This window comes from Homo sapiens, chromosome 6 (genome assembly GCF_000001405.40).
Source record: "Homo sapiens chromosome 6, GRCh38.p14 Primary Assembly".
NCBI lineage: Eukaryota > Metazoa > Chordata > Mammalia > Primates > Hominidae > Homo > Homo sapiens.
Genome location: NC_000006.12, coordinates 20,311,115 through 20,335,346, shown reverse-complemented (window position 1 = coordinate 20,335,346; position 24,232 = coordinate 20,311,115). Strand labels below are relative to the sequence as shown.

At 43.2% G+C, this 24,232-nt stretch overlaps 2 long non-coding RNA genes across 2 annotated transcripts in view, besides 2 other annotated features; one reads left to right on the top strand and one right to left on the bottom strand.

Moving 5' to 3' along the window:
* Positions 1 to 437: 437 nt before the first annotated feature.
* Positions 438 to 4,112, top strand: LOC124901272 (uncharacterized). Its single transcript, XR_007059490.1, has 2 exons — positions 438 to 1,213; positions 3,822 to 4,112. It is a non-coding gene; the product is annotated as an uncharacterized LOC124901272 (long non-coding RNA).
* The window catches only part of LOC101928573 (uncharacterized), a 67,731-nt gene continuing 45,488 nt past the window's right edge, over positions 1,990 to 24,232 (bottom strand). The window contains exons 3-4 of the long non-coding RNA XR_007059489.1: positions 13,772 to 14,145; positions 1,990 to 3,641 (exon numbers count right to left, since the gene is read on the bottom strand). This is a non-coding gene — a long non-coding RNA (uncharacterized LOC101928573). The remainder of the gene's footprint in view (positions 3,642 to 13,771; positions 14,146 to 24,232) is intronic.
* Positions 14,744 to 14,793: an enhancer, noted in NCBI's record as "active region_24127". NCBI's record gives its function as "activates an Ori minimal core promoter by ATAC-STARR-seq in GM12878 lymphoblastoid cells {active_cell/tissue: GM12878}" and the evidence as "EXISTENCE:reporter gene assay evidence [ECO:0000049][PMID:35858748]".
* Positions 15,534 to 15,613: an enhancer, noted in NCBI's record as "active region_24126". NCBI's record gives its function as "activates an Ori minimal core promoter by ATAC-STARR-seq in GM12878 lymphoblastoid cells {active_cell/tissue: GM12878}" and the evidence as "EXISTENCE:reporter gene assay evidence [ECO:0000049][PMID:35858748]".

The window sequence follows — 24,232 nt, the reverse complement described above, 5'->3', positions numbered from 1 at the left end:
ACCAGCAACACTGTAACTATTTATACACTGCTGCCATCTTGAAAGGGCACTGGATTCATTCTCAGGACATCATCCAGATGAATTGTGGAAAAGAGGTCATGGGCTGTTTGGAATGGGAGCTCTGTAGGATAGAATTTCAGTTCTGGCATTCCTTTGCTTCTTGTCCTTCATCCTGGTGTAACAATGCATCTGGCCCAACTCATGTTTCCTCAAGGCAGCTCAGTTCCAGTTGAGCTCTGTAGACCAAGGAGGGAGGAAACTTGGGCCCTGCCTTCTAGAGAGCTCTTTCTCAGTTGACAGAGGATAGACTAGTCATGATTGGAAAATAAATGGCATGCTGTGAAACAGAGGAAGGTACCCAGGATCAAGTGCAACTTACCAGGCTAAGTCAGAAACACAGAGAAGAGTAGTAAGAGAGCAGAGAAAGCCGTGATGGGCATCTCTTACCAACACCATCTATACAGCAATGCCTGAATCAGAGAACGCTTTAAGCCCAAGTCTGCACCTGGCAGCACTTCCTTCTTCAACAATAAACTGAATAAAGACTTCTGGGTTCCTATTGTGTGCCATGCCGTTTGGCAGGGGGGTCGCTGCAGGAACATGTGTCATATTGGTCACTTATCATCCACTCCACCTTTTCTTCTGGCAGCAGCCCTTGAGTTTCTTTTAGGGAGCCACTCCCACCCACCCCTGCTTAGTCGGCTTGGCTTAGACAGGCTCCACCCCCAGCTCCAGGCTGGAGCACGTGACTGAGGGCTGGCCAATCACGGCACTGAATTCCTCTTGCTAGCGATTCATGTAGTGATTGAGTCACTCAGGTTCCTCCAATAGCAATGAACCAAGGACCTAAGTGGGACGTACCAGGGAGATATTTTCCTCCTGAAGTTACTTACCGAAATGGTGACGTGAGCCTGGAATGGCCAGGAGCCACTACATAGTACCTAAAATAAACCCACACTGCGGGAGGCAGAGCTAAGACAGAGAAAAATGGAATTCTGAAGATATTATTAGAGCTGCTATCAATCTGGCCCTAGCCCCGAACTTTTCAATTACTTGGGCCAATAGATTTTCTCCTCCCACCCCATCTTCTTGGCTGAAGCCAGTTTGAATTAGTTTTTGTCTTTTGCCACCAACACTGAAAGAGTTTTGATATAGAGACGGATGAAAAGACAGCATTCCTGATCCTGAGGCGGCAGACGTAAACTCAAGTGTGGTAAGTGTGAATGTGGAGATATGTTCCCAGTGTGGTGCGGGCAGAGGGAGAGGCTGATTCTCTCTGGGGGAGGAAGTGCGTTCATCCTGGGAAGGGCAACAGTTGGTGCCTAGCCTATACCCCTACTGACCATAAGACGTACACAATCTCTATTCCTCACATGCCTCAAGCTAATTAGTTCTAGGAAGATCCAGTGGTCTGGAAAAAATTTCTGGCAACTCCTTTTCTTCTCCAATTTCCCCTAGACTGTGCATTTCCATTAACTGGCAGATATTGCTGAAGACCGCACAGTCTTAGTCAAAGACTGAGCAGGTGAAAATGGCAAAAGAAAACGTTTTTCTCTCTTTAGAGAAGCAGTAATTGGCATTATGCCCTCTCCGCAGCAAGAATAGGTTATGTAAATGACAAAAATAGCAAAGGCAAATATTCTTATTGCACTGTCAAGTATTTCTTATGGCTGGATATACTCTCCAGAAGGATCTACTGAAAAGTACTAAATTCCTAGATTCATAATGGCTCCTGTGCCTTCCTCCAAGCTGGACAGGCTACTTCAGCTTTCAGCAACTGCTGAGTGACTGCTGTGGCTATGCTTTGGATTTGCAAGGTTTGCTTGATAAAGACTGGCACAGGTGTGGTGGTGAGCGCCTGTAATCCCAGCTACTTGGGAGGCTGAGGCAGGAGAATCGCTTGAACCCGGGAGGCGGAGGTTGCAGTGAGCCGAGATCACGCCACTGTACTCCAGCTTGGGTGACAGAGACAGACTCTGTCTCAAAAAAAAAACAAAAAAAAAAAACTGGCAACATTCTCTAGGACACGGTGTCTTTAGTTGCAGACTGGCATGGGGGAGGCAGAATAATGAAGCAGAAAGAATGCAGCCTTAGACTCAGATAGATCTATTTTGATTTCTTACAGCACCCAATCAAGATAATTCACTTCTCTAAGCATTGATCTCCTTGTTTGTAAAATGAAGATAACAGTACTTTGCTCCCAGGGTTTCTGTGGAAGTGAATAAGATCAAGTGCCCAGCACATTGCTGGTCATATTCTATATTCATTATAAAATGAATGAATGAATAAGTGGTTGTAATCAGTGTATATATTCTATTTGACTTCTGTCCTTAGGAAAAAAAATCAAGATTTTATAAATATTTAGCCAGACCCGTACTTCCCCTTCTCCAAGCTCAGTGTACCCCAGCTTACTCTGTTCTGTCCCCAAAGTGTGAGGAATAGAGTTCTTATCTGCACTTACAAAGTAACAGAAAAACCAGTGAGCCATGTGTCCAGCTGGGATCACAGTGGGGAGGGCAGATTAGAGTGACAGCTGGCCTGGGAGAGAAACCCTCTCTGAAAGAGTGCAGGGCTCTATGGCAGGCTGTAGCACCCTCACTGGCTGAGGTCAGAGAGTAGATTTTGTCTCCATATTCACCTGCACAGTCACCTCAACTGGGGTGATTCTGTAACACAGCTCAGCTTCCTTCCACAGGCCCCAGTAGAGTGCAAACTCCATGAGGGCAGGGATCTTATCTTTCATTCATTGCTGCACCCCAGTGCCTAGACACTGCCTGGCATACAGTAGACACACAATATTTAGAAATCTCCCTACAAATACATGAATCTAGAGCCCCAACTGCATTCCCTTCCCCAGTCTCTCTCTAGGGCTCTGTCTGGATTTCTGAAAACATGAAGGGGCTGATTACAAATCTCCTTACCAGATAATAGAGCTATTCCTCACTCTCCCAGCCTTGGCTACCCAGGTAAGTCTCCAGAAACCTTAAGCAGCACTGAAGATGGAGAGAGATATTTTGATGGCTCAAGAGATTGGACTAGGCAGGTGAAAAAGCCAAGTTGACTTTCTGGTACCCCTTTTCCAGACCTGAAAAACACCCACAAAGTTTAATTTCAGCCGTGCATGGTGGTACATGCCTGTAGTCCCAGTTACTCGGGAGGCTGAGGCAGGAGGTTCACTTGAGCCCAGGAGTTTGAGGCCAGCCTGGGCAACATAGTGAGATTCCCCTTCTCTAAATAAATTAATAAATTTTTAAAAAGTTTAATTTCCAGCTGGGCATTCTGCAACATGCATATGTGTTTAAGGAAATGCATTAAACTCTTAGGAATTGAGACCTCTACATAATAGTAGCTTAAGCTAATTTTGTTTTTCTTTCTCATAACCGGAAGGCTGGGGTAGGTGGCCGAGGGCTGGTAAGATGGCACCACGGTGGTTATCAATATCCAACCTCCTTCTGGCTTTCTTTTCTGCTGCCCTTAGCGTGTGCTCCCATCTTCACAGGACGGCTGCTGGAGCTAAAAATACCATGTCTAAGTCAGAAGAGGAGAATGAATGTCTGCTTGCCAGTCTAGTAGACTGCTTTAAAGAGCTTTCCCAGAAGTTCTGTCCAAAGTCTTCCATTTCATCTCCTTGGCCTTCCATTCTACAAGGGAATATGGAAATAGAGCATTTTGTAAAGGCAGGACATGTGTATACCTCCCAAATATAGAAGTTAGTGAAGAAGAGAATGGATATCAGGCAGGCAATTAGCAGCTTCTGCACAATTATTGTATCCTTCAAAATGAGTAATGACGATGACAGAAATCATTTTGTAATTTTACAGAGAAATTGTTGGGAAGATTGAAAGAGCAGATTCGAGGAGGCTATGCTTCAAGAGCAGCTTTCCAGAACCACACCACAGGACTGGCTGCTTCTGGGCCCCACAGCCACGATGCCTCTGCACCAATCAGGAAGCTGCTGGTTTTAGAATAACCAAATGTCTCCACCCGTGTTTGCCAGTAAAATCATCTCCCTATGCCTGGTTTCCTCCTCATCAGGCTTCATTTTTCCTTCCATGTTTTGTGAGGAGTCTGTCATTACTTTTTGCCATTAAAAGTAATGGCAAAATCCGCAATTACTTTTGCACCAGCCTACTACCTTCCCAAGAGGGGACCTAGCTGTCTGGGAGTCTGGGAAATGTAGTTTTTAGCTTTCAAGATTTTATTACATAGGAAGAAGGTTAGGATGAATGTTGAGTAAACCAATCTGCAATATTTAGCCCAGTATTTATTTTATTTTATTTTATTTTTCTGAGACAGGGTCTCATTCCCATCATCCAAGATAAAGGGCAGTGGTGCAATCACAGTTCACTGCAGCCTTGACTTCCCAGGCTCAGGTGATCCTCCTATCTCAGCCTCCTGAGTAGCCAGGACTATAGCTGCATGCTACCACATTTGGCTAATTATATATATAATAGCAAATATAAATATATAGTAAAACTAAATGTAATATACACATTTAGTAAATACAGGGTTTTGCCATGTTGCCCTGGCTAGTCTTGAACTCCTGGGCTCAAGCATCCTGTCTGCCTCTGCCTACCAAAGTGCTGGGATTACAGGCATGAGCTACTATGCCTGGCCCATTGCCCAGTATTTTATTCTGATCATATAATCTACACGTTTGCCATTTTCAGTAACCACACATTTATTCTTTATAAATTCATTCATTCATTCAGTCAGTCAGTCAGTCACTCATCAAGTGTCAGGCAGCATGCTAGGTGCTATGTATCAAAGATGATGAAGTTAATGTCTGCGTGGGTGGTGGAATTTCAGAAGATGAGGGCCAATAGCAAAGCCAATTGTGGAGTACTGGAGGGTGCTGACAGCCACTTCTCATGGCCAATCTGTTATTTCCATGGAAGATTGCAGTCTCCATGTGGTCAGATCCCCCCACAGTCAAGCGAAGCCAAAGTCTAAAATTTCATGCAAATTCTTTTTTTTTTCTTGTAACACAGATTGTATTTATTTGTAGAGACAGGGTCTTGCTATGTTTCCCAGGCTACTTTCAAACTCCTGGCCTTAAGTGATCCTCCCACCTTAGCCTCCCAAAGTGCTAGAAATACATGAATTCTTCAGATCCTTAAAAATCAATGGTTCTTAATACTAGCTGGACGTCAGGATAACCAGGGTATCTTTTAAAAATTACTGATGTCTACCCCAGCCTAATCATGAAAAAAACATTAAACAAATCCCAAATGAGAGGCATTGTACAAACACCTGACCAGCACTCCCCAAGACTGTCTTGATCATCAAATCCAAGGTAAGTCTGAGAAACTATGATGACCAAGAAGAGCCCAAGGAGACACACCAGATAAATAGAATGTGGTGTCCTAGATGGGATACTGGAACAGAAAAGATCATCAGGGAAGAACTGAGGAAATCTGAATAAAGTATGATATTGGTTAATAATAATGTGTAAATATGAGTTTATTAATTGTGACAAAGGTAGTATACTAATGTAAGATGTTAATAAGAGAGGAAACTGAATGTGGGGTATATGGAAACACTCTGTATTGTCTTTGCAATAATTGTGTAAATCTAAAACTGTTCTAAAGTAAAAAGCTTACTAAAAACAGATACTGACATCTAGGACCCTTCCCAGGCAGATTGAAGCTCAATCATTAAGGGGGTGGGATTCAAACACTGACATGTTTCGGAAAGTGTTCCAGGTGGTTCTAGTGTGCAGTTGGGGTTGAGGATTAGTGCTTTACATTTGGCACTAACTTATATATTTTAAAAACACTGTAATGGTAAAATAAAACATCTGTGGGGCCATATGCAGCCTGTCGCCACCAGTTTGGGAATTCTGCTCTATGCTTTCAAGAAAATGATAGTATAGCTTGGGAGAAACACATCATCAAATACACGGGTAATGACTGAAACTTCTATAGCCTGTGAGGAGTCCCCAAGAAGGAGCAGTGGTGCCAGTGGGAGAGGAAAAGGTGGCGGTGGTCTGAGTAACTGAGATGACATTCCTGAAGCACCTCCTGACGTATTTTCCCATTGATCACCTATTTCCTTTCCTTGCACCTTGCCTGCTATCATTGTCCTGCAGACGTGGAGTGGGGGAAGTAAATAGAATCTCGTGAAAGAGAAGGACTGATCAGGCTTGCTTCTCAAAGGGTGGTCATTGAGCAGCCTGGTTGGCATCACCAGGGAGCTTGTTAGAAATGCAGACTCTCAGGCCAGATTCCAGAATGATTGAATTGGAGTCTGCATTTTAATAGGATCCTAAGGCGATTTATATTCACTGATGTAGAGGGCTCTTGTAAATCAGGAAGGGAGATTAGAAACCCATTCCAGCACTAACAGAAGGCACCCAGGAGAGAGGAGAAAAAGGGCAAGAGTTTTTAGTGATGAATGTTGGACTCCTCCTTCAGAGTTGAGGAGGGTGTAGAACACCCAGGTAGTTTTGTGGCAATGCAGAATATTGGGGTAGATTCCTGCTTCTTTGGACATTATTTGGGGGTAATTCATCACATCACCACATCCAATATGACACAAGAACAGTAGAATAGCATTGGCAGAGGACAAATCTAAATATAGGGGTGTGAGACAGTGCACCAGGTGCCTACAGCCTGCACACAGCACTGAAGACACCCAGAAGCTCCAGCAGCCTCAGTGCAGGGCTCTAAAAGAGTGGAAGGATAGGGGCCAGAAAAGCTTCCTGGGCTCAGAAATGAGGAGGCTTCAGAATATGGGGCTTCTCAACCAGGGATGCCAGAGGTCTTGGATTTCTGATGATATCATCACAATAGTTAAAACAAACCAAGCTGGACAAGCCACATCTCAGCAGCTACCACTTCAGGATATTCAGAAACCTGCTAAGGCAAATGACATGTCGACACAGCCAGGGAGGAATCTGAAGCATGTCACCTCACTGGAATGAAGAGACGTATTTTTCTGCATCTAGATGCCATCTTGGGAAGTGTTGGAAGTGCATGAGTTCCTTTGAAAGGAAAGAAATTGGCTGGGCACGGTGGCTCATGCCTGTAATCCCAGCATTTTGGAAGGCCGAGGTGGGCGGACCACTTGAGATCAGGAGTTTGAAACCACCAGCCCGGCCAACATAGTGAAACCCTGTCTCTACTAAAAATACAAAAATTAGCCGGGCATGGTGGTGGGTGCCTGTAATCCCAGCTACTTGAGAGGCTGAGGCAGGAGAATTGCTTGAAACCAGGAGGCGGAGGTTGCAGTGAGCCAAGATTGTGCCACTACACTCCAGTCTGGGCAACAGAGTGAGACTCCGTCTCAAAAAAAAAAGAAAAAGGAAAGAAATTGTTTAATAAAATGTTGGATCTTCTGGTCTCAGGAGGAGGTTCTCTGTCTTCCTTAAAGTAACAGTTTTAAAGCTAAAGAAACAGAATTACATTTAATGGACAAGTTGGGTTGCTCCCACTCCACTACCCCTATTATTAGCAGAAATAATACAATAGAAAGAAAATAAATAAAATCACACATTTTTGCATACCTTAGTGGAAGTGCATGTCTTTCAACCCTGCTACATTAGGAGGGGTATATGAGGACTTGAAAGTTGAGTTAAGCTTAAAAGATGAGGAGACTTTGTCAGGAGGATGAGAAGGCCAGGAAAGGCAATCTAGGCAGAGCACAGGGTTGTAAAGAGCATGATGGACTCGTCGAATTGTAAACAGTCCAGATGGTTAGCGAATAGGGTGTGTGAGGGTGAAGAAACAAACTGGTAGGTAGGGTCGGGTCTTGGAGGACTTTGGACGCCATGCTGTTTGGATTTTAACTTATAGGCAATCATGGGGAGGGGGACGGGGAGGTTTGAATTTCAGAATTAGCGCTGTGGCACCACTGTGGAAGATGAGTTGGAGGAGGGTGACATTGGAGGCTGAAACAAGTTAGGAAGCTAATACATGGGAGAGGGCTGGAATAAGGTAAAGGAAGAATTCTTGGGTTTCTCTGTTGGGTTACTGTTTGGGTGGTGCTGTTATTCGCTGAGTCAGTGCATGTAAGAGACAAGAGAGACTTCGCGTGACATTTACAGTCACCCGGTGTAGGCATCACCCACTGTTGGGCATTTGGGTATGTGCAGCTGCTGTTTCTAACATCTTCCTATTAAAATGTCGCCATGAACATTCTTGTATGAATTATTTTTAAAATTTGGAAGTTTGGGGGGAATGGGATTATATATCTAAATTATTTTTATTTTGTCAACTTGCAAAATCATTTTGTACTGCTTTTTATTTTATTTTTTTCAGACAGGGTCTCTCCCTGTCACCCAGGCTGGAGTGCAGTGGTGCGATCTCTGCTCAATGTAGCCTCGATCTCCTGGGTCCAAGTGATTCTCCCATCTCAGCCTCCTGAGTAGCTAGGACTGCAGGCAGGCACCACCATGCTCAGTTAATTTTTTTATTTTTTGTACAGATGGATCTCCCTGTGTTGCCCAGGCTGTTCTCAAACTCCTGGGCTCAAGCGATTCTCCCACCTCAGACTCTGAAAGCGTTGGGATTATAGGTGTGAGCCACCATGCTTCACCTTATAATGCTTTCAAATATTGCCTGACTGCTTTCTGGAAAGGCATACCACTCTATAGCTTACCAACTATTGTTAGTACACTTGTCTGTATACAGTCCCAATTGTAAAAAATATACAGGTTTTTTTAAAATAACTATAAAAATATACAGATTTTGTATAACTGTAAAAAATACCAGATTTTTATAATATGAATCAATGTTAGCTTGTTAAAAGGTAAATTGAAACACAATAACATTTTAAAGAGTTTAATTGAGCAAACAGTAATTCATGAATTGGGAAGCGCCAAACTGAAAGAGGTTTTTGGGCTCTGCTGAAGTGTCAAGAACAGACTTTTATAGAGTGAATTTGTAAGTAATACAAAGAAAATATTTGGTTGGTTACAGTTATAAAGTTGCCTTACTTGATCTATCCCTCTGGAAAGTCCCTAGTTATATAATTTAATTTTGCTGGCTGCTTCCAATTGGTTGAGCTTAAGTTCTGCTTTTCTTTGACATAAGTATTTGCAAGACATTGCTCAAGCTAAGTTTGGCTTATGTTAACAAATCAAGCAAGGTTAGTCACTCATCGGGCCTAATTAGCTTTGTCTGCTCAGGGGTTCTTCAGGTCTCGTTTCCATTTTAATTTACTGCAACAACCTAATTTCAAAGATGGATCCTAAAGGTATTTATCTATTTATTTATAGATAGGGTCTTGTTCTGTCACCAGGCTGGAGTGCAGTGGTGTGATCATGACTCACTGCAGCCTTGACCTCCTGGGCTAAAGCAATCCTCCCACTTCAGCCTCTTGAGTATCTGGAACCACAGGTACCCACCACAACACCTGGCTAATTTAAAAATTTTTTTTGTAGAGACAGGGTCTTCCTATGTTGCCCAGCTGGTCGTCTCAAACTCCTGGGCTCAAGCAGTCCTCCCACCTCAGCCTTCCGAGTAGCTGGGACTACAGGCACACCACCAGGTCTGGCTGATATACTTTTTATTTTTTGTCAAGACATGGGTCTCACTATGTTGTCCAGCCTGGTCTTGAATGACTGGCCTCAGTTGATCCTCCTGCCTTGGTCTCCCAAAGTGTTGAGATTACCGGTGTGAGTCCCTGCACCCGGCCTGAGCATTTCTAATGTTCTATGCTAAGTGTAATAGTTATTATCAGTTTTAAATATATATTCTTTATCATATTAAGAAAGAAGAATTCCTAGGGGTTTTAATCAAGAAAATATTTTGTATTTAATCAAATACTTTTTTTGTACCCGCCTATGTATAGTTATATGATTTTTACTTTATGCCTTGTTAATATGATGAATTATCTTGATAATGTTTTATGCGTTATATCAACCTTGCATTCTTGGAATAAATTTTCCTTCATGATCAGTGACAATTTATTTTTAAGTATTTGGAATGATTTTTTTCTTCCTTGTTTCTTTCCTTTACTTCCTCACTTCCTTTCTCTCTCCTATCTACCCCTTTCTTCAACCCTCCTTACTCCTTTTCTTCCTTTGCATATATGCTGGAAATTATAATTTTCTCCTTTTGATATTGGTCTTAGGATTGGGAAGTAAATCCATGTTTAATTTATCAAATCAGTTCAGAAACATATTGCCTTTTTCAATTTTTTGCAACAATGAACATGTGACACAAATCTGTGTTATTTGAAAGATCCGCAAATTCAGCAGGGCCAAGTGCCTTTCTCCTCCTCCTTTCCTTTATAATTTTTTTCTATTTATTTATGTTAGCTTTTCCCCCCTACTATAAGGAGTCTATTATAATAAATCATCTCCTGTTAGTTTTTCACTCAAGGGTGGAATAACCCACGTAACTGGTGCCGACAGACCACTTTTTAACGAAGTTCTTAGGAAATCTCATGAGCTGATGCAGGAGGCTGCCTCAGTGGGAATAGACTGTATTTGTGCTAGCTCTATTAGCTTTTATGATTTATATTTGTCAAAACTCACTCATTTCATTTTAATTGTAAAAGTGTTTTTTTTTTTTTTTTCAGAGATGGAGTCTCGCTCTGTCACCCAGGCTGGAGTGCAGTGGCATGATCTCAGCACAGTGCAACCTCTGCCTCCTGGGTTCAAGCGATTCTCCTACCTCAGCTTCCCAAGTAGCTGGGACTACAGGCACAGGCCACCACACACAGGTAATTTTTGTATTTTTAGTAGAGGTATGGTTTTGCTATATGTTGGCCAGGCTGGTCTCGAACTCCTGACCTCAAGTGATCCACCCTCCTTGACCTCCCAAAGTGTTGGGATTACAGGCATGAGCCACTGCAGGCCTGGCCAGTTGTAAAGGGTTTTAACATAAAAATTGAAAAAAAATCTCTCCATTTCAGTGAAATAAAAAATTTTGGTTTAAATTATAGCTTTTTCTTACACTGAATATTAATAATTTGGGTTTTCCTTTTATTTCAATGATTAACACTTTAAAAAATTGTCAAAGAATCTTCTGTTACTGATTCTACAGTTTTTTTCCTACTTTATTTATGCTTGCTTTATTAGTTCTCCTTTTCCTACTCTTTCGATGCCTCTCTTCTTTTTTAAAAAGGAGATAGGCCGGGCACAGTGGTTCACGCCTGCAATCCCAGCACTTTGGGAGGCCAAGGGGGCAGATCACCTGAGGTCAGGAATTTGAGCCCAGCCTGGCCAACATGGCAAAACTCCATCTCTACAAAAATACAAAAAATTAGCCAGGCTTGGTGGCACGTGCCTGTAATCCCAGCTACTTGGGAGGCTGAGGCAGGAGAATTGCCTGAACCCAGGAGACAGAGGTTGCAGTGAGCCAAGATCACGCCACTGCACTCCAGCCTGGGTAACAGAGCAAGACTCTGTCTCAAAAAACAAACAAACAAACAAACAAACAAAAAACCCAAAAAACAAAAAAGGAGATAGTTTAGAAAATTCACACAGTAAGAAAAATTACGGCTCACTTCCACAACGCAAAGACAACATGATTATTTTGATGCATTTCCTTGTATATTGCTTACACAATTATGCATTAGCCATACGCACTTTATAATTGATCAATGTGTGTGCATTATATGACTATATATTTTTTAGAATATATTGGGGTTATTTGTAGATTTCTTCTCTAATGTAGGTTATTATTTAGGAGATTAGTTAAAAATTTTAAGGAATTTTGAATTTTTTTAATCTCAAATTGTATGCCTTTTTACTTTGGGAAAGTAGTATGGAGAATCTGTCTTTTTCTTTATATGAAGAAATTTTTGTGCTTTATTTGATATTTTTGATGACACATTCATGGCAAAAAGTATATTAGCTTCTGATATGATTCTATCATGTATTCTATCAAATGCATGACTGTTAATTCTATCTAATTTATTACACTTATCAACTCCGCACTTTCTTCATCAAATCTGAATACTCCTGATTTGTTATATGAAACACTGACATTTCAAATTATCGTTCTCTTTCTGCCTATTTTTTCCTTTTGTGATGTTCTGGTATTCTCAGGCCCTTGTTTATTATACCTTTTATGATTATATGATTTTATTTATTCCACCTTAAAATCAAATAATGATAGTAACTCTTACTTTTTTATGGTCCATCAGGCAGGCTATGCTGTCCCTTCCTCAGTGTTTTCCCTAAGTGTGTTCCTGGACATTCCTTTTCTGGGTCTGCTGTGACCAAGTGCCACAGACCGGATGGCTTAAAGAAATGGATTGTCTCACAGTTGTGCTAGAAGTCCAAACAGGGTTGGTTCCCTCTGAGGACTGAGAAGGCAGGATCTGTTCCAGGCATCTCTCCTGGGCTTGTGGATGCCCATTTTCTTAACATGTCTTCCTTCTGTGCCAGTTTTTGTGTCCCTCTTTATAAGGATACCATTCATTTTGGAATACAGCCCACCTTCATGACCTCATTTGACTTGATTACCTCTGTAAAGATCCTGTTTCCAAGTAAGGTCTTATTTTGAGGTACTGGGGTTAGGATTTCAATACATAAATTTTGAGGGGGTCCCAATTCAATCCATAACAGCATATTAATAGTTAACTTGAATGAATTCTGCAATTATATAAGTTGGGGAAGCGTCAGTTTAATTTTTTGAGACGGAACCTCATTCTATTGCCAAGCTGGAGTGCAGTGGCTGCAGTGGCACGGTCTCGGCTCACTGCAACGTCTGCTTCCCGGATTCAAGTGATTTTCCTGCCTCAGCCTCCCGAGTAGCTGAGATTACACGCGCGTGTCACCCCGCCCAGCCAATTTTTGTATTTTTAGTAGAAACAGGGTTCACTATGTTGGCCAGGATGGTCTCGAACTCTTCACCTCATGATCCGCCCACCTCAGCTACTCGAGAGGCGTTACTTTCTTGATGTCTCCTGAGACAGATCCCACTGGAGACCATTTTTCCTCAGCAGATACAGGATTAATTACCCACTCATCGTTTGGGAGAAGCTCCAGAGCAGAGGCCATAATCCAACTGCAGATGCTTGATTCTGATATGAAATAGTTTGTTACATGTCTTGCTGTGAATGCCTTCTCTGGGGAGTATAATCAATCATTTTCATTTATTTTGTTTTAAAAAATTTTTGTTTGCTTTCTTTGATGGGAATTTAAGACCTGAGGTTGGGAGGTCTTGGACTCAGGAGGGAGAACATGGAAGAGGAAATATACAAGAGGAGCATGGCTGGAGGTGAGGGAGGAGAGATGGAAGGACCTGTCGTCTCCAGCTGGATATTGCAGGAGACTCAACATGTTCAAAATGCAATAATCTGGTCTCTAGACTACACCTGCTCTTCTTCCCTAGTTAAATAAATGGCACGACCATCTATTCTCCCCTTATCTTCTCCTGGGCTGTTTTGTTTTCTTACCTGCATTCTTCCCTATACCCTTCTCTCCCCACAAGCCAATCTAATTATTTTGTCACTTGCACCTTCTAAATGTTTCTCAAATCCATTAATTTTTTTGGCCAATATATTGTTTTCTCATTTTATTGAAGTGGAATCTCGTTCTGTCACCAAGGCTTGAGTGCAGTGACATGATCTCAGCTTACTGCACCTACCACCTCCTGGTTCAAGCGATTCTCCTGCCTCAGCCTCCCAAGTAGCTGAGACTATAGGCGCAGGCGACTGCGCCCGGACTAATTTTGGTATTTTTAGTAGAGATGGAGTTTCACCATGTTGGCCAGGCTGGTCTTGAACTCCTGACCTTAAGTGATACCCCCACCCTCAGCCTCCCCAAGTGCAGGGATTATAGGCGTGAGCCAGTGCACCCGTCCTCTCTTACCGTTTTAAGTCTTCATCTCTGTATTCTCCCCATAAATTCACGCCTTCCTCAATTGCAACATGTTGTTTTTATTCCTCACACACGCAGTTCTCTCCTCCTGCCATGCCTTTGCTCCCACTGTGTCCGGAATTGGTGAGTTCTTTGTCTCACTGACTTCATGAATGAAACCGCAGACCCTCGCGGTGAGTATTACAGTTTTTAAAGGTAGCGTGTCCGGAGTTTGTTCCTTCTGATATTCAGATGTGTTCTGTTCCTTCTGATATTCAGATGTGTTCGGAGTTTCCTCCTTCTGGTGGGCTCCTGGTCTTACTGGCTCAAGAGTCAAGCTGCAGACTTTCACGGTGAGTGTTACAGCTCACAAAGGCAGGGTGAACCTAGGGAGCAGCAGCATGACTTATTGCAAAGAACAAAAAAACAAAATTTTCAGGGTGGAAAGGGACACGAGCGGCTTGCCACTGCCGGCTCCGGCAGCCTGCTTTTATTATCTGGCCCCACCCACATCCTGCTGATTGGTCCATTTTACCGAGAGCCGATTGGTCTGTTTTACAGACAGCTGATTGGTCCGTTTTGACAGGGTGCTGATTGGTGCATTTACAATTCCTGAGCTAGACACAAAAGTTCTCCACCTCCCCACTAGATTAGCTAGACACAGAGTGTCAGTTGGTGTATTTACAAACCCTGAGCTAGACAGAGTGCTGATTGATGCATTTACAAACCTTGTAGCCAGAGTGCTGACTGGTGCATTTACAAACCTTGTAGACAGAACGCTGATTGGTGCATTTACAAACTTTGCAGACAAGAGGGCTGATAGGTGCATTTACAAACCTTGAGCCAGATAGTGCCGACTGGTGCATCCACAAACCCTGAGCTAGACGCAGTGTGCTGATTGGCGTATTTACAATCCCTTAGCTAGACAAAGATTCTCTAAGTCCCCACTAGACTCAGGAGCCCAACTGGCTTCACCCAGTGGAATCACACACTGGGGCTGTAGGTGGAGCTACCTATGAGTCCCACACCACGCACCCCCCCACTCCTCAGCCCTTGGGCAGCGGATGGGACCAGGTGCCCTGAAAGAGGGGGCAGCGCTCATCTGGGAAACTCAAGCGGCACAGGAGGCCACAAAAAGATGGGGAGACTCAGGCATGACGGGCTGCTGGTCCTGAGCCATACAAATAGCCTGCCAGGAGGCAGTTAAGGCCCAGCAAGAAATTGAACACAGAACTCGTGGGCCAGCACTGCTGGGGGAATCCAGCACACCTTCCATAGCTGCTGGCCCAGGTGCTAAGCCCCTTGCTGCTCTCAGTGCAAGGCTCACCACGCCCACCTGCGTGCAGTACAGGTTCCCGCCCGTGCCTCTCCTGCCGCACCTCCCTGCAACCCAACGCGGCTGCTTCCGGCCTCAGTCAGCTAAAGAGCTCCCACGGTATAGCGCTGAGCCGAAAGGCTTGTCAAGCACAACCAGAATGAGCAGAGGACAAAGAGGAACTGAGAGCAAGTGAAGGGTACTGCCATACCGTTCTCTCTCACTACCACTGTGTCCAGAATTGGTCTGACTTCAACAAGGAAGTTGTTGTTGTCACACGAATGTTACAGTTAAGGAGAGTGTGTCTGGAGTTTGTTCCTTCTGATGCGGTCAGTTTTTCTCGAGAGCTCATGGTCTATGCCGGGTCGGAAGTAAAGACTGCATATACTTCGTGGTGACTTACCGCACTTAAAGCAATATACATTAAAATTGTTTTTTCCTCCTCGTGGGTTCATAGCTTATACTGGCTTCCGGAGTAAAGCTACGTACTTTCACAATTTTTCAGCTCATAAAAGCAGCCTAAACCCAAAAAACATAACCACCACAATATGAAAGTATAGTGGAGCAATTTGGCACTCCTGGTTCAGGCAGTCTGCTTTTATTCTCTTATCTGGCCCCACCCACATCCTGCTGATTAGTTCATTTTACAGAGAGCTGATTGGTCTGTTTTACAGACAGTTGATTGGTCCATTTTCACAGGGTGCTGATTGGTGCATTGACAATCCCTGAGCTAGAGGCAAAAGTTCTCCACCTCCCCACTACATTAGCTAGATACAGAGTGTCAATTGGTGTATTTACAAACCCTGAGCTAGACACAGAGTGCTGATTGGTGTGTTTACAAACCTTGAGCTAGATACAGAGTGCTGATTGGTGTATTTACAATCCCTTAGCTAGACATAAAGAGTCTCCAAGTCCCAACCAGACTCAGGAACCCAGCAGGCTTCACCCAGTGGATCTGGCATTGGGGCCACAGGTGGAGCTGCTTGCCAGTTTCACGCTGTGCGCCCGCACTTCTCAGCTCTTGGGCGGTCGATGGTACTGGGCGCCCCATGGAGCAGGGAGCGGCGCTCGTAGGGGAGCCTCAGGCCGCGCAGGAGCCCGTCAGGAGAGGGTAGGGGAGGCTCAGACATGGCGGGCTGCACGTCCCAAGCCCTGCCCCGCGGGGAGGCAGCTAAGGCCCGGCGAGAAATGGAGCACAGCAGCTGCTGGCCCAGGTGCTAAGCCCCTCACTGCCCGGGGCTTGCAGGTATGCCAGCCGCTCCGAGTGCGGGGCCGGCCGAGCCTACGCCCACCCGGAACTCGCGCTGGCCCGCAAGCGCCCCTTACAGCCCCGGTTCCTGCCCGCGCCTCTTCCTCCACATCTCCCCGCAAGCTGAGGGAGCCGGCTCCGGCCTTGGCCAGCCCAGAAAGGGGCTCCCACGGTGCAGCGGTGGGCTGAAGGGCTTCTCAAGCGCGGCCAGAGTGGGCGCTGAGGCCGAGGAGGCACCGAGACCGAGTGAGGGCTGTGAGGGCTGACAGCACGCTGTTGTATCTCAACTGTCCCTTCACCCAGCTAACTCCCGCTCAGCAGGTGTCGGCCTTTCCTGACCCCCTATGTTAGTCGTGCTTGTCCTGTGTCCCAGAGCCTGGGACCTTCTTCACAGCCATCATCACACTTCATTCTTTGCAATCTCTCTTCCCTAGAAAAGCTATGAAGTGAGGAAACGTGTTTTTCCTTTTTTGCACCATACCTCAGTGCCAGGGTTACAGGTACCACACACCGACCCATTGTGCAAACCAGAAGAAGTCCTCTCCGCAGGCAGATGCGTCGCAAGTATGTTTCTGTCTCTGTTTTTGGTGGCAGCCACATGCCAGAATATTCGAGTGCAAGCTGGATTTCAGCTCCCATTTGTCCCTCTTGGTCAGGTGCTTTTGTGCAAAGCACAAAATATGAGGTGGTTTTGAAAAGCAAAAGCCAAGTGGAACTGAAGAAAAGATATCCACAAGTAGATTTGGTTTAGTCACTGAAATATGTCTGAAAGGATTGCTTATCATCCTCCTACAATGAAATGGATGTCCAGAGAAACTGAAAAATCCTTCAGAATAAGCAAAAGAAATGTCAAAGTAAGAAAGCTAGGTGTGTTCAAGTCTCATATCTAATATGACTATCTTGGCATTGTGTTATAGCATAATTGGTAAGATTTGTTTCCTTAGTAGTAAGTTGTGCACAAAGGTGGGAATTGAACAATGAGAACACATGGACACAGGAAGGGGAACATCACACACCGGGGCTTGTTGTGGGGTGGGGGGAGCGGGGAGGGATAGCATTAGGAGATATACCTAAAGTTAAAAGACGAGTTAATGGGTGCAGCACACCAAGATGGCACATGTATACATATATTACTAACCTGCACGTTTTGCACGTGTACCCTAAAACTTAAAGTATAATTTAAAAAAAGGGGCATCTTAAAATCTACAGCATTCTAGATTTGATAATATGTAGTATGAACATCAGTTAGGGATTATATTCACCTGCATGTAAGAGAACCTGAATAAAGGAACATAATCAAATACAGTTTATTTTTCTCACGTTCCAAGAAGCATGGAGACAGGCAGGCCCGGGCTGGTCTAGTAGCTCCGTGATGTCATTAATCATGGTTTCTGTCAATCACCCAGATTTCTTCAGCTTTTCTTCTCTGCCTTTCTTAGCACATGACTTTCTTCATCGTGGTTCTCTCATGCTCTTAAGAGTGGATATAAAATTAGCAACTAGCAGTGACTGTACACGGTGATTTACATTACAGCCTCATCTATTTAGTTTATTATCCTTAAGTTGGATCTTCTTGTTCTTTATTTTCAGTATGCCATTTAATTTTCTATTTTTACTGATTGCTGTGTTATTTACCTGCAGCTTCTGTTTTCTAAGTGCACCATGAAGCATTTGCCTTTAATTCTATCTTTTACAAATCCATTAATTTCTTTTGTTATTTCTTCCCAATGTTTACAAGTTTATTGAAGTCTTTCTGTATTGGTGCATGTTCTAATTTTGTTGTCACACTTTCTTCTTTTCTCTCTCATAACCTAGTTGATGTCAGATGATTTCTCGTTGTTTTGGAGTCTTTGAGGGAGTACTGCCAGTTCTACTATTGTGCATAATTTGTGTTTTGGGATTTTGCTTTTTTTTTCAGTTTTGTAATTCTTTTTACTTAATACATGTAATAAAAACATGTAGATTTGTGTATTGTCTTGAAAACGTGTCTTTTTGTCTTTGTTTTTTGTTGTTTTTTTTTTTTTTGCCAGAAATTACAACTTAAAAAAAAAGATTTTGTCAGAAGGAAGTGACCTGCACTATTATTCATAAAATCCATATGAAAATCTAACATGGAGTAATTGTGGAAAATCTTACATATGTCTAAAGAAAGATTAGAATCTTCAATGTTTTTTACTTTATATCTCATCTGTTATCAATTATCTTAATTAATAAGATTGTTTCTTCCTAGAGCTATCATTTATCGATCATCTACCAGAGCAGGAATTGGCAAATTATGGCTCATGGACAAAATCTGACCCACCACCTGTTTTTGTGAGTAAAATTTTTTTGGAACACAGCCACACCTATTCATTTAAATATTCTCTATGACTGCTTTTGTGCAACAAGGGCAGAGTTGAGTAGTTGTGACAGAGACCATGTGGCCTGCAAAACCTAATATATTTACCATTTTAGCCTTTAAAGAAAAGTGTAGTCGAGCATAGTGGTGTATGCCTGTAGTCCTAGCTACTCAGGAAGCTGAAGCAGGAGGATTGCTTGAGCCCAGGAGTTCAAGTCCAGCCTGGGCAGCATAGTGAGACCTTGCTTTTAAGAGAGAGTGAGAGAGAGAGAAGTTTGCCAACCCCTGTACTAGAGTCTCACTGAAACTCCAGCAGCACTGTAACATACGAATCACAGCACCTTTGAAGTTCAGAGAAGTTAAATAATCTTCACAAAGTCACCTAACTAATAAGCTGTGCCTGGATCTGATCCCAAGTCAGGGATTCCTCATCACTATTATGTTATACCACTTTTATATACATGATGTCTCACATTAAACCTCATAGAAATCCTCTCGGCTGGGCGCGGTGTCTCATGCCTGTAATCCCAGCACTTTGGGAGGCCGAGGTTGGCAGATCACGAGGTCAGGAGTTCGAGACCAGCCTGGCCAACATAGTGAAACCTCGTCTCTACTAAAAATACAAAAATTAGCTGGGTGTGGTGGGGCACGCCTGTAGTCCCAGCTACTTGGGAGGCTGAGGCAGGAAAATCGCTTGAACCCAGGAGGTGGAGGCTGCAGTGAGCCAAGACGACAGTGTGAGACTTCATCTCAAAAAAAAAAAAGAAAGAAAGAAATCCTCTCATTCCTCTTTTGTAGATGAGGAAACTGAGTCTTACTAATCTGTCCAATGTCCAAGGTCATACAGCTGATGAGTGGCAGAGCCAGGATTTGAAACTATGTCAGTGTGAAGCCAAACACTGCCTTTAAATATTACATTGTTAAATGTATTACTTCTCAAAGATTAAAAAATATTTTTAAGACAAGTTCTCACAGTGTTGCCCAGACTGGAGTGCAGTGAATATTCACAAGTGTGATCATTGCGCACTTTGGCCTCAGACTCCTGGGCTCAAGCAATCTTCCTGCATTGCCTCCCGAGTAGCTGGGACTATAGGCACGTGCCACCATGCTCAGCCTTCTCAAAGACTTTTTGAGGGTTTAAAAAATTTATCACAAAATTAATACTAAGCCTAATTTCCTCTAGAAGTAAAAGTAAGGAAAACTTCTGGCAGGGTTCATTCAGATTGTTTGACAGATCCATTTTTGTCTCTCCAGCACTGGGTTTTTCTAATCCTTAAAGCATGTGAAGATATCATTTACCTAACAAAGCAGTCATTGCAGGAACTTGTTAAGCCTGAGCTAATTCACTGCATTATAGCACTACCATTTCCCCTATTTTTTTCCCAGATTAGCAGAGAATAGACACAAAATTACTTCCTTATAAGTTTACCATATAATCCCATTGAATTGATTGAAAGCATGTAGTTAGAAAAAAGAAACTGAATAAGACTCTCCCTCCTGTATCTCTTCATGCCCTTTGAACATGTAAACTAAAAAGTAATCATTATTTTATGATGTCCAAAGATTCTCATTTATCTAAGTACTGATAGGATGTATAGAACAAGTAGGTAACCTACTTGCACCCAAACCATGCAGTGTTGGGTTGTAATTCCATCTGGCTTTGCAGGACAGAATTGGCACCCAGATGGAAGTTAGTAGAGCTAGAGAGACAGCATCAACAGCAGGAATAAGAAAAGAGGCTGTGATGAAGACAGCGAAAAAAACAGACATTCCCCTTGCACATTTCTGTGTTGGTCTTATAGGCTCAGGCAAGTAAAGTGAGACAGACACAGAGACAGGGCTGTGAGACCAATCCTTGATGACATGACTAATATGTGAGCTTATCATTGTGCTTGTTTCACACCTGGAAGAGCAGAGGCTTCCTTTGAGGGCTCACCAGGGACATAAGAGGAGAGAAGAGCTCACAGTAGGACTGGTTAATTGAACTGATAATTCATTGAAGCACCTCAGGTGAAATCGTCCATCCGTAACTTCATATGCCTGGTAGTACATTTTGTCTACATGTTGGTTTGTTTTGCTCCCAGTAACAGTGAGCAGCATAAGCTTGCTTTGCACCCCAGACAGGAACGCATCTGCCCATTTCTTGTTTGGCATATTCTAACAGGAAGGATTTTTAGGCTGGGAGTCCATTCCACACGGAATGAGAAGGAAATAAAAAACACTCCTGGGACAGGGGGTCCCCTACTAATTATTTTTCCATAAGTCTCCTGTTTACTTTCCAGCTGCCCTGAATCAAGCCTTTGGGAACTCATAAGTGGCAGGTGAAATTCACACCACGCAGTCTGTCAGGGTTTGGAATTGACACCAATAATTCCCGGCGGGTTATTTTTGCAAAGGTGTAAAGTTTGTTTTCTTAAATTGCTTTGAACATGCTTCTCATGATTTTAAAGACACTTTTAACAAGATTCAAAAAGTCTGGCAGGAGGTATGAGTGGAGATGGTAATTATAAGGACTTTCGAAATGAGTTATGACATCAGCCTTAAGTACCCAAAACATTGCTATCATAATTGTCATGCTTTTTTCTGCAAGAGCCACCGAAACAGGACAGATACTCAGCAGATCATTTATTCTGCCAGCTTCCACATACCACTGAAAAGAATAATTTGCAAAATTTGCGGGAGAGTCTAACAATGCACTTAATGAGAGAATAATTTGTTGATGTTTCATTTGTAGTAAGCAGAATAAACAAAGAAATTCATGAAACGAAAACAGACTAAGTCACAGCAGAGAACACTCATGTTATGGGAGAGCAATCGAATGATACTTAGTGGCTACTGGGCAGAGACTCTGATCCGAAGGAAAGTGACCCAGTAGACTTCTTCTCGGACTCATTTAGACGGAAAGTTTTGCCTGTGTGTGGTTACAGTGGCATGATACAGGTCAACTGGTTGGGTAAGCTTCTAGGATTTCCACCACTGCACACATGGACACCATTTTCTAACTCATATAACTAACAAAAAGATGCCTTGATTTAGGTAATAATTGATAGCAGGAAGAGGACAAATAAAACATGTACAGCTTGCATTTATTTTTACTTTGTTATTTTTAAGTGCTAGAGTAATCACGTCGTCCCACAGTAAGGAGAACACAGAGGCCCCCTCATGAAGTAAGGCTGGGTCGAGGCATTCTTGGGGCAGGTATTGGCACACAGTGTCTCCCAGCAGCCTGTCACTGGTGCCTGAAATAGTGCCACCAGGTTCACTCTTTTGGATTTACAGTGGTTATTGAAAAGCTGGTGCCCTGATGGTATAAAACCTTAAGCCTAGGCTAGCTTGCTTATGAGAGGCCACTTTTCCTAACGTGACAGATGATTGGCTGGGGAGACGTGTACAGGCTTTCCAGGGGGTGGGTCTGGCCAGTCAGGGAGTCACAAGGTGGCAGCGGGGAGAAAAGGAAGCTGAGGGTGCTAAGGGGATGTTCTAGTACAGCCAGAAAGGGCTGATTTCACCTGTTTCACAGTGGGCTAGTGGTAAGTTTAGAAGGATGACAAAATATTGTTTAGACATCTGCCCAGCTGTTTCCTGCAAAGTTAGAGAGCCAAGCAAATGTCTCTGGATTTCAAAGGCCAACTATCAAAGTTATTTGTAAAACTGAAACAGGGCAGGGGATATAAAGGATGTAAGAAACAATCCATTGTTGGCAAGATCTTCACATCTGAATTGACTAACATTGTCAATCAGGGAGCTTTGGCCCCAGTGTGGTAGAACAGATTGAACTGTGATCTTTGCAGGATGAGGGATGCAGGGAAAGCCAGCAGATGGTTTATAGTAATCTGGCCAAGGCACTAATAGCAACAGAGCCCACTGCTCGCAATGGCTTAGTCAGCTGAAGCTGACTGCACAGACGAGGAAGCGGGTTGTTCCAAGGTTGTGTAAGGACAAGAGCGGCACCTGAGTCCTGGCTGGGCAAAGCAGATTTTCCTTAAGCGCCTCAGCACTTGGTCACATGGGTGCAGCCTTATAGAGCTTCATAAATTCTCTAAGAATGTCCCTAACAGTTTTTATAATTTCATGCTCTTAGGATATCTCAAATCTTTTGGTGATATTCAAAGCTTACCAAATTAGAAAAGTCTTCATGTGTATGGAAGTTGTCTTCCGATACCAACTCTCTAGGTTCTCTTTTTCTTCATTCTTGATTGTGGCAGTGTAAAAGAGACAAAACTGGACCTATTATGGAAACCTAGCCGGGCTCAGTGGCTCACACCTGTAATCCCAGCACTTTGGGAGACTCAGGTGGGTAGATCACTTGAGCTTAGGAGCTCCAGACCAGCCTTGGCAACATGGTGAAACCGCATCTGTACCAAAAATACAAAAATTTACCAGGTGTGGTGGTGTGCGCCTGTGGTCCCAGCAACTGGGGAGGCTGAGGTGGGAGGATCCCTTGAGCCCAGGAGGTGGAGGTTGTAGCGAGCCAAGATCGTATCACTGCACTCCAGGGCAACAGAGAACCTTACACAAGTAGTTTACAACCAGTGGGGAGGTATTAGGGACTTCATATAAACATGCACACACACATAGATATGCGTAAACATCCGGGGCCAACCCAAAAATATTCTGATAGGCCCAATTCTATCTTCCAACCCTTGCAACTTGAGTTATTTCATTCGCATTTTCGTTGCAATAATTTTTAGCTGCAGGAAACAAAATACATCTACAATGGCTTAAATTAAAATTTTTGTTTTCATACAACAAGAAATCCGGAATTGGTGGTTTTTGTTTATCAATTAGACATTGTCAGGACCCACGGTGTATGAGTCCCTTGTCCTTTTCCTTCATAAGTTCAAGATGGCCCCTGAATTCAAGTCATCTTGTCCAGAAGGAAGAAAGGAAAATGGGGGAGATGGCTATGCCAACTTTCAGGCATTTGTCCAAGAAGACTTCCACTTATGTCTCATGGTCTTGTATTGGGTCACTTGACTGCCTCCTGTTGCAAGGAAGAGCTGCCAGCAGGAAAGACAGGGAGAAGAGGCTGTGAAGGCTTTAGGAGTAGCCATTCAAAGGATCTGCCACCATTAATTTCTGGAATGAACAGAAAAATTACTAGCTCTGGCTGATTGACCATCACAATTGAGATCATGCTTTATTCTGCCACTAATAGAATACTTTCAATGCTGAGAGCAGTCACTTAATTTTGATCCTCAGGGACACCCTCTGATACTACTTTTCCATGAAGTAGGAAACTCGTTCAAGACTAGCCTTTGAATGGTATTAAAGTCTAAAAAACTTTAAACCAAGGTAGAAATGGCTATACTTTTTATTAGGTTATTATGGACAAAACCGCAATTACGTTTGCACTAACGTAATTGTAGTGTGAAATCTGAACACACCTTGAAGATCATATCTCTTCTCTCCAGCAGTGTCACTACATCCAGTTACATTTTACTGAAAGGTAATAAAGTGAAAACTCAGTGTTTGACAGTGGCTTCACTGAGTGAAACAGATGGGTAACTGCAGGATATTCAGGTAGCCTTGATATTGATGAACTACAGCTCAGTAACAATAAGCAATTTT